General features: G+C 36.7%; 1 protein-coding gene across 1 annotated transcript in view; it reads left to right on the forward strand.

Annotated features, from left to right (window-relative positions):
* Positions 1-14,706, forward strand: part of GTF2E1 (general transcription factor IIE subunit 1) — a 40,326-nt gene that overhangs the window by 5,874 nt on the left and 19,746 nt on the right. The window contains exon 2 of the mRNA NM_005513.3: positions 1,906-2,383. Within this exon, the coding sequence (NP_005504.2) occupies positions 1,936-2,383 (448 nt within the window). The 5' untranslated portion in view covers positions 1,906-1,935. The remainder of the gene's footprint in view (positions 1-1,905; positions 2,384-14,706) is intronic.

A 14,706-nucleotide genomic window follows, 5' to 3' on the forward strand; every position in this document is an offset into this window, starting at 1 on the left:
TTTGGTACCAGTACCATGCTGTTTTGGTTACTGTAGCCTTGTAGTATAGTTTGAAGTCAGGTAGCGTGATGCCTCCAGCTTTGTCCTTTTGGCTTAGGATTGACTTGGCAGTGTGGGCTCTTTTTTGGTTCCATATGAACTTTAAAGTAGTTTTTTCCAATTCTGTGAAGAAAGTCATTGGTAGCTTCATGGGGATGGCATTGAATCTATAAATTACCTTGGGCAGTATGGCCATTTTCACGATATTGATTCTTCCTACCCATGAGCATGGAATGTTCTTCCATTTGTTTGTATCCTCTTTAAGTTCATTGAGCAGTGGTTTGTAGTTGTCCTTGAAGAGGTCCTTCACATCCCTTGTAAGTTGGATTCCTAGGTATTTTATTCTCTTTGAAGCAATTGTGAATGGGAGTTCACTCATGATTTGGCTCTCTTTTTGTCTGTTATTGGTGTATAAGAATGCTTGTGATTTTTGTACATTGATTTTGTGTCCTGAGACTTTTTGCTGAAGTTGCTTATCAGTTTAAGGAGATTTTGGGCTGAGACAATGGGGTTTTCTAGATATACAATCATGTCATCTGCAAACAGAGACAATTTGACTTCCTCTTTTCCTAATTGAATACCCTTTATTTCCTTCTCCTGCCTGATTGCCCTGGCCAGAACTTCCAACACTATGTTGAATAGGAGTGGTAAGAGAGGGCATCCCTGTCTTGTGCCAGTTTTCAAAGGGAATGCTTCCAGGTTTTGCCCATTCAGTATGATATTGGCTGTGGGTTTGTCATAGATAGCTCTTATTATTTTGAGATACGTCCCATCAATACCTAACTTATTGAGAGTTTTTAGCATGAAGAGTTGTTGAATTTTGTCAAAGGCCTTTTCTGCATCTATTGAGATAATCATGTGGTTTTTGTCTTTGGTTCTGTTTATATGCTGGATTACATTTATTGATTTGCGTATATTGAACCAGCCTTGCATCCCAGGGATGAAGCCCACTTGATCATGGTGGATAATAAGCTTTTTGATGTGCTGCTGGATTCGGTTTGCCAGTATTTTATTGAGGATTTTTGCATCAATGTTCATCAAGGATATTGGTCTAAAATTCTCCTTTTTGGTTGTGTCTCTGCCCGAAGCCCAGGTTTTTAAAGTAAACTATATGCCAATGTGGGCTTTGAGAAGACAGCTTTCTGGGTCATGGTACGGAAATGAGATACACTTAGTTTCTGCTTTGTCAAGGGATCCAGTATTTAAGAATATTTTGGGCTGCTCTCCCTCCCTCATTTTCTACCTTTTTAAGGACTGGATGGTCTTTCCTTGATTATCAGATTCAATTTTTCAAGGTTGGTAAAACTGTCTGGATCTAAGTATTACTTTCTTTCAGTTTTACAACAGTTAATGATTTTGTCAAACACCCCAGGTGGTGATTACTCATGTGTTTATTGGTTTGTTGTGATTTTATTGTGAAAGCATGACTATGTAAAACATCCTAGAATCTTGGTAGAAAAATTTTACTCAAGAAAGGAAACAAAGACACTTTTAGGAAATGCGAACTGCTAGTTTTCTCAGGGTTTCCAGCATTCCCAAAGAATAGTGAGCATTTCATGTAGCTTTTTTTGTGTTTCTCTTCTGAAGTAAAGTAGACTTGACGTAATATATTGTTTTATAAATAAAAAGTTACTTTTTAATCAAACACACTATAGATCATAAAAGTAGCCATTTAAGAAATATGTAAAGCTTTTTGGGTGTAATCTTTTGTGCATTCTAGAGGAAAATCTTGTTCTGCTCTGTTAAATGCTTAGGTATTAGAAATCTTTTTAAACACTTTGGGTACTTTTCTGGCACTGCAAGGATAGTGGATATGATTACCATGTTCTTATACCTGGCTAATTTTCTGTTTTTTTTTGAATTCAGTATATTTAAAGTTGGAGTTCGTTGCTAAAGATGGCAGACCCAGATGTCCTCACTGAAGTTCCAGCAGCATTGAAGCGGTTAGCCAAGTATGTGATCCGGGGATTTTATGGCATTGAGCATGCCTTGGCCTTGGACATCTTGATCAGGAACTCCTGTGTGAAAGAGGAGGATATGCTGGAGCTGCTCAAGTTTGATCGGAAGCAACTTCGATCAGTTTTGAATAATTTAAAGGGAGACAAGTTTATCAAATGCAGAATGAGGGTAGAGACTGCTGCAGACGGGAAAACCACTCGCCATAACTACTACTTCATCAATTATCGTACTCTTGTTAATGTGGTAAAATATAAACTGGACCACATGAGAAGAAGAATTGAGACCGATGAGAGAGATTCGACCAACCGGGCTTCCTTCAAATGTCCTGTCTGTAGTAGTACTTTCACAGACTTAGAAGCTAATCAGCTCTTTGATCCTATGACAGGTGAGGTTTATCCAGTTTGTGAATCTTTAAAATAAAGTGTGTATTACCTTTTTTCTTAAATTGATTCATCTAATTTTTAAACCATCATATATATTATTATAAAAGTGAATGGATCAGTGTAAATCACAGCATACAGTCAGTCTTACTGTCCTGTTTGGCTGTCGCACTACTTTGAGAAGCCTTTGCAAAGCGTTTCTCCTTTACAAGGGAGTTTCTCACTTATGGCCCTCCTGCCTCTGCCCACCCCACCTTGTTTACAACTGCAGCCTAATCTGAAGGGTTGATTTCTCTACCACTTTGAGGCTGTTCTAATTTTATTTTTGACCTCTAGACAGTTGCAATACAGTGTATTTAAATGCTTTGTTAGTGGAAGTAGAAAGTGGTATCAGGAGTATATAACTAGGGCATATAATCTGGATTTGGGGAAGGCCTCTGGAAGAAGTTAACATTTGAGACCTAAAAGATAGTAAGAGTTAGCTAGATGAAATAAGAGGGGAATTCTTTCCAAGATAAGACATTTAGTGTCCTTTAGATACACATTATTGTTGGAAGAAAATTGTCAACAAGATATATAATTGGCCTGATTTGATTGAATAGTTTTAAGGATTTTTCATAACACAATTTAGAAAGCATGCATTATCTGAAAATACAATATGTCTAGCATAAACATGAGAAACTTTAAAGTTCTGAGTTATATAGTTATTTTATCTTGTTATCTGTTTACACAATAAAAAAGAGACTAGTTTTGCTAAATACTCGATCAATTTTGTCTTATTTTCTACAGGTAAAAATCTATAGAAGGACTCAGTGCTATTAAATTAGATTAAGTCCCTTTGTTATGGTTGAATTCAGGAGTATAGGCTACTTTTTAGTTCATAGATCTGCTTTTTTAAAAACTTCGTCTGAAAGTTTAAACTTTGACCCATGAAATATTTGGTTGTGCAAAATTACAGATTTCTGTGTATGTTTTATTTTCTAATTTTTATGTTATATATGGTACATTTTAAATAATTAAAAAAAATTTTTAAGTGGGAAATAACCCCAATATAAATTAAGATTATTGACAAAAAGAGCCAGAAGCAATCTGTGACCTTTTTTTCTTATTTACTGTGAGGCAATGATTTTGGATGAAAACTGATTTAAGGAATTCACAATTGTATTAAACATTTAATTTGTCTGAGCCGAGCTTTTTACCTTGAAAGGGCTCCACAAGGAGAGATCTTGATTATAAGAAAGTCTTAACCATCCTCGGTATGAGAATTGCTTGAGTGTTCTATAGAGGAAGGTTGTAGAATATATCTGGAGCTCTTCAAAATAGACTAGAAAAGTCTCATGATTCTTGCCATTCACTCTAACAGATTTCTTACAGGAGCTCTGGGTTCTTGGTTTTGTAATTCTCTACAGATGTTGGTTTTAACAGTGGAGGCTTCATCACTCTTGACCACAGTAGAAGGTGTTATCCAGTCCCTTAGAGTAATCTAAAATAACATGCTTCTACTACATTTATTTGTCATTTGAGTCATATTAATTTAATTAAACTTTCTAAAAGGAGATGATTCCACTACTTATATATCAGTATTTGGGAGACTGATCATGATACTCTTGAATTTCACCTGGATTCTGAATGAAACTAGTTGACTCAATAGATGGCCTGTGGAAGAGATGGCCTAACATTCCATCCAGTACAGTCAAGGTGACTTGAATCAAGGAGTTAGGGTAGAGGGCATGAAAGTATTTTATGAAATAAAGCTAAAACTGAAACAATTGTGTTGTGGCCAGTCTGAACAAAGACTATTTTTAATGTGAGGGCTATGGTCAGCATGAAGATGAAAAGAAGGGGTGCCTGAGAGCAAGAATAAGCCACTTAATCTTAATGTCACTCAGGGGAGGGTGCCCTGGTCAGCCAACACTAATGCTTAATTGGCAGTTATGTCCTACAGTAAAGCCTGAGGTATCATGATTAAAAATTTATAATCATTAGGGACCCTCATTCTGAGAACATACTTGCCTTTTTATTGTAACGTGGCTTTTCATTTAGATGCTCCTTTAAGGAGAAAATGTGCTGATTAGGTGATATTAGGCTCTAGTTTGCCAGTTCTGATGTTTTGAGTTTTGTTTTTGTTTTTTTTTTTAAACTATTAATACCCAACAACTTCCTTTGGTCTGTACATTCCTTTTAGAAATCTTTGTGTTTTTCTCTATTATTCTTTCTTGTTTTGCTCGGTATTCATCTCTCTGTCCTCTCCTCTACTCCCACCCCATTATGAAGAAGATGGGCAATAAAAATTTGGTGTGTGTAGTAAGGAAGGAGGGAACTTTTTCTGCTGTAATAATTATGCCTTGTCTAAATTGGTAGATTGTAGTTTTCTTTCTAAGCCCAGTCCTGTACAAATACCCAGTTTCTTGGTTGCTAGAGGAGATTGATAATATTTCTGATCAAGTGATGGAAGTATTTAATGGCCTTCTACCTCCATTTCTTTTCAATAGTTCTTAGATTGACTTATGGTTTACATAAGCAATTAGGGGATATTCAGAAATTGGATTTGAAGCCTGCTAGATTTTACTGTTTTCCCTGACAAAAGGTGCTTAACTCAAGTGTATGGGCAGCTCTCTGCCACAGGACAAAGGGTAGTAACTCCTAGATGAGCTCCTGAGGACCACCTGCAAATTCTGGACCCAGGAAACAGCCCAGCAAGGATTGTTTACCATTGTTAATTCACACATAAGCCACCGGTCTTCCTACTTCAGTTTACTACTATTTCCTACTCCATCTCTACTTTTCCTAAAGATTGTAAATTTTCTCCATACTTTCCATTTAGATTTGCTTTTGATGTTTCTGGGTTGAACTCTCTTCAAATGTATAGATACATTATTTGTTAAAATGGAATAGCCTAGCCTTTGCACACTAGTCAATCAGAAGCTTAATCATTAAGGTGAAACCAGGTTTTAAGTTTCTAAAATATGGGAGGATTATGTAATCAAAACAAAAACATGACATGAAATCTCTCAGTGAATCAGCAAAATAACATCTTGTGTTTCATAAATGCATGTTTTAGATTTAGCAAGCTTTCTGACCATTTAAATAGACTTAAGTATTTCTATTTTAGCAGTCTCAACCATGGGTGATTTAGTTAATCACCCTAAGTTAACACTTCTAAGTTAAGTTCAACAGCATGCTTCTCCTGAAGGGCAGAGGGGGATCTTAGCTCTTTTTAGATGTTAAGGTTAGATGATTTGGAAATAGCTTTATATTTTCCATTTTTAGTTTAAAAATTATGCAACCATAATGCCAGAGACAAATTTGAAGAGAAAAAAATCACCCACAAAGCCACCAGCCTTTTACGTATTACCTACAATTACAATCATAGCTTAGAATAGTTTATGATCTCTTGGTTTCTTAATGTACCAAACTCTCCTGTTTCTATCTAGTGTTCAAAATACATTTTAATAGGTGTAATTTTTTCCCATTTTCCTTTCCCCTCCTTTTGGGCACTTTGGGGGTATCTATTTTTTGCTGGTATAGATAAGATGCTTTGAATACCTTTGTATATATAGCACATTATTCCTGTTCACATTTTTTCTTATGAATTCTTGGCAGTGGGAATATTGGGCAAAAAAATACAGTTTTAGAGCTTCTCTAAAAACATATATGGCATTGTAGTTTTACTGTGAGTGGGTGGAGTAGAATTGTTAGATGTTTGAATTGGAAATAATTCGGGAGCCCCTTTTACTGCATTCACCTAGGGACCTAGGAGTCACATTTTAAATTTTGAGATGAGATAATTTAATTTTTTTTTAAAAAAGAATCTTATAAATGTATATTTAATAAAATCTTAGAAATAGAAATTCAGAGATTATCTAGTTCAACTCAACAAATAATGTGTATGTGGGTGCACATGGACATGCCTATGTTGTACTCTTGGATTTGGAGGATCGCATAATGTAATAACGAATAAATCTAGGGGTATATACATTGCTAGGCTGTTTTAGATTTACTATTAAGGGAGAATATGACACTTCTCATGGAGATTTACCTTGTTTTGTTTGGCTCCATGGAAAGACTTAGCAACAGATTTTAGTATTAGCATAAAGAAGTCTTTGATAATTAAGTAAGTGTCTAATAAATAACTCGTAAAAATAGCCAACAATGGAATAGATCTCTTCTAGTGATGAGTTCTGAGTTTGGAATAGTCAAGTAAACTTGGTATCTACTTGAGATATTCATATGTAAGTTTGGAGTTAAATCATATGAGTCCCTTCTTGGCTTGTGACTACAGATAAAACTTTTTGGTTTGGACAGATCCATTTCCTGATGGCCCCATTCATTGAGATTCCTTTTCTGTTCCCTTACCCTAACATTTAAAAATTTTTAAGATTCTCTATTTGTGAGACTTGATTAAAGAGTTTGCCTTCATAGGGCAGGCTGCTTTTTCCTGTCTTCTCTTTCTACTTAGAATAGGAGATATCTTTAAAAATTTTTTTAATTAAAAGAAATTTTTTGTGGCTAAATAGGTGTATATGTTTATGGGGTACATGAGATGTTTTGATACAGGCATGCAATGTGTAATAATCACGTCATGGAGAATGGGGTATCCATCCCCTCATGCATTTATCCTTTGTGTTACAAACAATCCAATTATACTATTTTAGTTATTTTTAAATGTATAATTATTGACTATAGTTACCCTGTTGTGCTATCAAATAGTAGGTCTTATTCATTCTTTCTAACTATTTTTTTTACCAGTTAGCCATCCCCCATCCCTACTACCATTTCTACCCTCTGCTAACCATCCTTTCATTCTCTGTGTCCCCGAATTCAATCATTTTGAGTTTTAGATCCCACAGATTAGTGAGAAGGTACAATGTTTATCCTTCTGTGCCTGGCTTATTTCACTTAACATAATGATTTCCAGTTCCGTCTATGTTGCAAATGACTGAATCTCATTCTTTTTTATGGCTGAATAGTACTCCATTGTGTATGTGCACCACAGTTTCTTTATCTAGTCATCTGTTGATGAACACTTAGGTTGCTTCCAAATCTTAGCTATTGTGAACAGTGCTGCCACAAACATGGGAATGCAGATACATCTGATATACTGATTTCCTTTCTTTTGGGTATATACTCAGCAGTGAGATTGCTGGATCATATGGTAGCTTTATTTTTAGTTTTTTGAGGAACCTCCAAACTGTTCTCCATGGTGATTGTACTAATTTACATTCCCACCAACAGTGTACGACAGTTCCCTTTCCTCCACGTTCTTGCCAGCATTTGTTATTGCCAGGACAGGAGGTATCTTATAAGCAGTGTTTTCAATTCCTGAAGTGCTAAAAACACAAACACAAAAAGAAATCTTTCCAAGATTGTTTTGCTCAGTTGCTGAGTCCTCAGTCTTTGGAATCTTATCCAGCATGGGTTAGACAATTATGCCACAGAACTCAAAGGTATGGATTGGGGAGTGGGGGGAGTAAGGGGGGGAAATTTATTAGAAAAAGTTAAAATATATATAAAAATGAGTTATGGAAAGATAGGAACAAGTATCGTCCCTCTTCTACCCTTCCACCACAAAACCTTTAGGTCTGATTTTTTAAAATTCTGCTGCTTTTGATTTTGAGGATTTGAGAACTTTTTTAAAAAAACATTTTGGCTGGGCACAGTGGCTCATGCCTGTAATCCCAGCACCTTGAGAGGCCAAGGTGGGTGGATCGTTTGAGGTCAGTAGTTCAAGACCAGCCTGGCCAACATAGCAAAACCCCATCTCTACTAAAAATACAAAAATTAGCTGGGCGTGGTGGAGTGCGCCTGTAATCTCAGCTACTCGGGAGGCTGAGGCAGGAGAATCCTTTGAACCCAGGAGCCAGAGGTTGCAGTGAGCCGAGATCGCACCACTGCACTCCAGTCTGGGCGACAGAGTGAAACTTCATCTCAGAAAACAAACAAACAAACAAAAAAAAACAATCTTTTATCTTTTTTGTATTTTGATGCCAGTGACATAAAAGCTAATTTATTTGCTTATTTGTGAAGAGTTGCTTTTTAGTTTTGATGCTTTGGATTTTGATACAATATTCTATTCTTTATTGTCTTTCAGATAGTTGAGATGAGTTTGGTTCTGCATGCTGAGATGAATTTGATTTGGGCCTAATTTAGAGAATTTATTGAAAGCTTTAATATTCATCCATGTACCATACTTCAGTTTGTTGTTTTCTGCCCTTCTTCCCCCACATTGTACCTTTTGTCCCCTTTATCATAAGTTCCAGAATTGAGGAATGATGCATGATTAGACCAAATCCAGATAAATTCCTGTTTAAGGAAGTAGAACCCAATTTCATTGATTAAATTGAATTTTGGAGGGTGAGGTTGTATTGTGTAAATCATTGATACATTTGATTCTGAATTTCAAAAACATTAAATCTGCTTTTTTTTTCTTTTGCATGCAGATGAATGAGTATTTTGCAGTGTTAAGTGTTCTGTGGTGAATTTTTATAAGATGATTTTTCAAATTTCTTTTTATTATAGGTAAAATAATTAAATGTAATGTAAAACTATGTTCCTGTCATGTGTGTTACTGTTTGCTAATAGCAACTCCTTTTTCTATACATTTTCCCTTGCCCAATTAAACTGAAGAAATTTGCTTTATGAAAATAAAGTTTAGGAATGAGACTAAAAGGTGACTTTTTGAGACTTCAAAATTACATTTTAATAGATATTCCCCCGAACATTATGAGTTATAAAAATTGCAACAAAGGACTTGATAATGCTTTCAGAAAAGCCCAGGAATGACTGTATAGCTTCTGCATATTGATTAAGAGGGAGTTGAATGTTTTTGGAGAATTCAATATGGCATTCGTTTTCTTTCTTTTAAAAATACATAAGTAATATATGGCTGGGAGCGATAGCTCAACACATGTAATCCCAGCACTTTGGGAGGCCGAGGTGGGCGGATCACTTGAGGTTAGGAGTTCAAGACCAGCCTGGCCAACAGGGTGAAACCCCATCTCTACTAAATATACAAAAAGCCAGGTGTGGTGGCGCACACCTGTAGTTCCAGCTACTCCGGAGGCTGAGGCACAAGGATTACTTGAACCTCGGAGGCAGAGGTTGCAGTGAGCCAAGATCACGCCACTGCCAGCCTGGGCAACAGAGCGAAACTCTGTCTCAAAAAAATAAAATAAGTAATATATGAATGAAAACTTGGTAAAGACACAAATAGTAGAGAGGTATGTAAACTAAAATGGCAAACTAGTTTTTCCTCTCTGTGGCTTTTCCGCTCACTGCACTCCCACCAATTTTCTCTGTCATAACAGAGAAACTACGAAGTTTTTGCTTATCCTTCCAGTCCTGTTACCTTGTATCCCTAACACCATCCTCCAGAAGCCCTTTAGAAATCTAACAATGTAAAGTGATTCTTTTTTTATTTTTTAAATTTTATTTTTTTATTATACTTTTAAGTTCTGGGGTACATGTGCACAACGTACAGGTTTGTTACATAGGTATACATGTGCCATGTTGGTTTGCTGCACCCAACAACCCGTCATTTACGTTAGGTATTTCTCCTACTGCTAATCCCTCCCCCAGCCTCCCACCCCCGACAGGCCCTGGTGTGTGATGTTCCCTGCCTTGTGTCCATGTGTTCTCGTTGTTAAACTCCCACCTATGAGTGAGAACGTGAGGTGTTTGATTTTCTGACTTTGTGATAGTTGGCTGAGAATGATGGTTTCCAGCTTCATCCATGTCCCTGCAAAGGACATGAACTTATCTTTTTTATGGCTGCATAGTATTCCATGGTGTATATGTGCCACATTTTCTTAATCCAGTCTATCATTGACAGTCATTTGGGTTGGTTCCAAGTCTTTGCTATTGTGAATAGTGCTGCAGTAAACATACGTGTGCATGTGTCTTTATAGTAGCATGATTTATAATCCTTTGGGTGTATATCCAGTAATGTGATGGCTGGGTCAAATGGTATTTCTAGTTCTAGATCCTTGAAGAATCGCCACAGTCTTCCACAATGGTTGAACTAATTTACACTCCCACCAATAGTATAAAAGCATTCTTATTTCTCCACATCCTCTCCATCATCTGTTGTTTCCTGACTTTTTAATGATTGCCATTCTAACTGGTATGAGATGGTATCTCATTGTGGTTTTGATTTGCATTTCTCTGATGACCAGTGATGATGAGCATTTTTTCATATGTCATCTATGCTGCATATGCATATGTTGGCTGCATAAATGTCTTCTTTTGAGAAGTGTCTGTTCATATCCTTTGCCCACTTTTTGATGGGGTCATTTGTTTTTTTCTTGTAAATTTGTTGAGTTCTTTGTAGATTCTGGTTATTAGCCCTTTGTCAGGTGGGTAGATTGCAAAGATTTTCTCCCATTCTGTAGGTTGCCTGTTCACTCTGATGATAATTTCTTTTGCTATGCAGAAGCTCTTTAGTATAATTAGATTCCATTTGTCTATTTTGTCTTTTGTTGCCATTACTTTTGGTGTTTTAGTCATGAAGTCTTTACTTATGCCTATGTCCTGAATGATATTGCCTAGGTTTTCTTATAGGGTTTTTGTGGTGTTAGGTCTTACATTTAAGTCTTTAATCTATCTTGAGTTAATTTTTGTATAAGGTGTAAGGAAGGGATTCAATTTCAGCTTTCTACATAGGGCTAGCCAGTTTTACCAGCACCATTTATAAAATAGGGAATCTTTTCCTCATTTCTTGTTTTTGTCAGGTTTGTCAAAGATCAGATGGTTATAGAGGTGTGGTGTTATTTCTGAGGCCTCTGTTCTGTTCCATTGGTCTGTATATCTGCTTTGGTAGCAGTAACGTGCTGTTTTGGTTACTGTAGCCTTGTAGTATAGTTTGAAGTCAGGTAGTGTGATGCCTCCAGCTTTGTTGTTTTTGCTTAGGATTGTCTTGGCTATACAGGCTGTTTTTTGGTTCCATGTGAACTTTAAAGTAGTATTTTCCAATTCTGTGAAGAAAGTCAGTGGTAGCTTGATGGGGATAACATTGAATCTATAAATTACCTTGGACAGGATGGCCATTTTCACGATATTGATTCTTCCTATCCTTGAGCATGGAATGTTCTTCCATTTGTGTCCTCTTTTATTTCGTTGAGCAGTGGTTTGTAGTTCTTGAAGAGGTCCTTCACATCCCTTATAAGTTGGATTCCTAGGTATTTTATTCTCTATGTGGCAATTGTGAATGGGAGTTCACTCATGATTTGACTCTCTGTTTATTATTGGTGTGTATGAATGCCTGTGATTTCTGCACATTGATTTTGTGTCCTGAGACTTTGCTGAAATTGCTTATCAGGTGAAGGAGATTTTGGGCTGAAACGATGGAGTTTTCTAAATATACAATCATGTCATCTACAAACAGAGACAATTTGACTTCCTATTTTCCTAATTGAATACCCTTTATTTCTTTCTCTTGCCTGATTGCCCTGGCCAGAACTTCCAACACTATGTTGAATAGGAGTGGTGAGAGAGGGCATCCTTGTCTTGTGCTGGTTTTTAAAGGGAATGCTTCCAGTTTTTGACCATTCAGTATGATATTGGCTGTGGGTTTGTCATAGCTCTTATTATTTTGAGATACAGTCCATCAATACCTAGTTTATTGAGAGTTTTTAGCATGAAGGGCTGTTGAATTTTGTCAAAGACCTTTTCTGCATCTATTGAGATAATCGTGTGCTTTTTGTCATTGGTTCTGTTTATGTGATGGATTACATTTATTGATTTGCATATGTTGAACCAGCCTTGCATCCCAGCGATGAAGCCGACTTGATCTTGGTGGATAAGCTTTTTGATGTGCTGCTGGATTCGGTTTGCCAGTATTGTAGTGAGGATTTTCACGTCGATGTTCATCAGGAATATTGGCCTAAAATTCTCTTTTTTTGTTGTGTCTCTACCAGGCTTTGGTATCAGGATGATGCTAGCCTCATAAAATGAGTTAAGGAGGATTTCCTCTTTTTCTATTGATTGGAATAGTTTCAGAAGGAATGGTACCAGCTCCTCCTTGTACCTTTGGTAGAATTCAGCTGTGTCTGGTCCTGGACTTTTTTTGGTTGGTAGGCTATTAATTATTGCCTCAATTTCCAAGCCTGTTATTGGTCTATTCAGAGATTCAACTTCTTCCTGGTTTAGTCTTGGGAGGGTATATGTGTCCAGGAATTTATCCATTTCTTCTAGATTTTTTAGCTTATTTTTGTAGCGTTGTTTATAGTATTCTCTGATGGTAGTTTGTATTTCTGTGGGATCGGTGGTGATATCCCCTTTATCGTTTTTTATTGCATCTATTTGATTCTTCTCTCTTTTCTTTTTTATTAGTCTGGCTAGCAGTCTATCTATTTTGTTGATCTTTTCAAAGAACCAGCTCCTGGATTCATTGATTTTTTGGAAGGGTTTTTTGTGTCTTTATCTCCTTCAGTTCTGCTCTGATCTTAGTTATTTCTTGCCTTCTGCTAGCTTTTGAATGTGTTTGCTCTTGCTTCTCTAGTTCTTTTAATTGTGATGTTAGGGCATCAATTTTAGATCTTTCCTGCTTTCTCTTGTGGGCATTTAGTGCTATAAATTTCCCTCTACACATTGCTTTAAATGTATCCCAGAGATTCTGATATGTTGTGTCTTTGTTCTCATTGGTTTCAAAGAACATCTTTATTTCTGCCTTCATTTCATTATTTACCCAGTAGTCATTCAGGAGCAGGTTGTTCAGTTTCCATGTAGTTGTGCGTTTTGAGTGAGTTTCTTAATCCTGAGTTCTAATTTGATTACACTGTGGTCTGAGAGACATTTTTTTTTTTTTTTTTTTTTTGAGACGTAGTCTCGCTCTTCTGCCCAGGCTGGAGTGCAGTGGCGTGATCTCGGCTCACTGCAAACTCTGCCTCCCGGGTTCATGCCATTCTCCTGCCTCAGCCTCCCAAGAAGCTGGGACTACAGGTGCCCACTACCACGCCCGGCTAATTTTTTGTATTTTTAGTAGAGACGGGATTTCACCGTGTTAGCCAGGATGGTCTCGATCTCCTGACCTCGTGATCCACCTGCCTTGACCTCCCAAAGTGCTGGGATTACAGGCATGAGCTACCGCGCCTGGCCAATCTCTATTCTTTTACATTTGTTGCAGAGTATTTTACTACCAATTATGTGGTCAATTTTAGAATAATTGTGATGTGGTTCTGAGAAGAATGTATATTCTGTTGATTTGGGATGTAGAGATCTGTAGATGTCTGTTAGGTCCGCTTGGTCTAGAGCTGAGTTCAAGTCCTGGATATCCTTGTTAACCTTCTGTCTCGTTGATCTGTCTAATATTGACAATGGGGTGTTAAAGTCTCCAGTTATTATTGTGTGGGAGTCTAAGTCTCTTTGTAGGTCTCTAAGGACTTGCTTTATGAATCTGGGTGCTCCTGTACTGGGTGCATATATATTTAGGATAGTTAGCTCTTCTTGTTAAATTGATCTCTTTACCATTATGTAGTGGCCTTCTTTGTCTCTTTTGATGCAAAGTGATTCTTAAATACTTTATTAAAACAGCTTATGGTTAGTAATGCTTGGTCAACTTTTCATAATATTGTATAGTTTTATTTAGAACACTTATTATGTTGGGTCCTTTTGCATAATCAGTATGTTCAGTGTTCATGTCATTTCTAGAAGTTTTTTGGCTTTTCTTTTCAGCAGTGGCTGCAAGACAGTAAAATGAAAGGATGTTAAGATTCAAGAGCCCTGGCTTTTAGTCTTAGTCATGTTAGTAACTGTTACCTTGGGCAAATCCTGTAACCATTCTTGGCCTTCTTTTAGCATGTGTAAAATGATACGTTCATCCTATTCTATACCATATATGGCTTCTCTCAACTCTAGTTTTATACTTACTCTTTGATTTGGAACATATTTGACATTCTAAAAGTATGGAGAAGCTTGGGGGTTTTATCACTGGTTTTAGAGGATTATGTTAGTCACTTTGGGTTAATTTAGAAGCCTTGGTTAGGAATTGGGACCCCTCAGTTATAGTATTCATATAGAAAATATGCTCTGTTTACATCTTCAGAAACGCACAGGCATAATGGAGAATAATATTAATAATTTTAAGCAGTCTTATTTTTCCAAGCTCCCCAATTCACTACCTTCCGCATATATATATTCTATTGGCTATCGTCTTTTAGGTATTTGAGATGAGTTTGATTCTGCATGCTGAGATGAATTTGATTTGGGCCTAATTTAGATAATTTGTTGCAAGCTTTAATATTCATCCATGTATTATCCTTCAGTTTGTTGTTTTTTGCCCTTCTTCCCCCATATTGTACCTTTTTTCCCCTTTATAATGAGTTCCAGAATG

Source organism: Homo sapiens, chromosome 3, assembly GCF_000001405.40.
Source record: "Homo sapiens chromosome 3, GRCh38.p14 Primary Assembly".
Classification (NCBI taxonomy): Eukaryota; Metazoa; Chordata; class Mammalia; order Primates; family Hominidae; genus Homo; species Homo sapiens.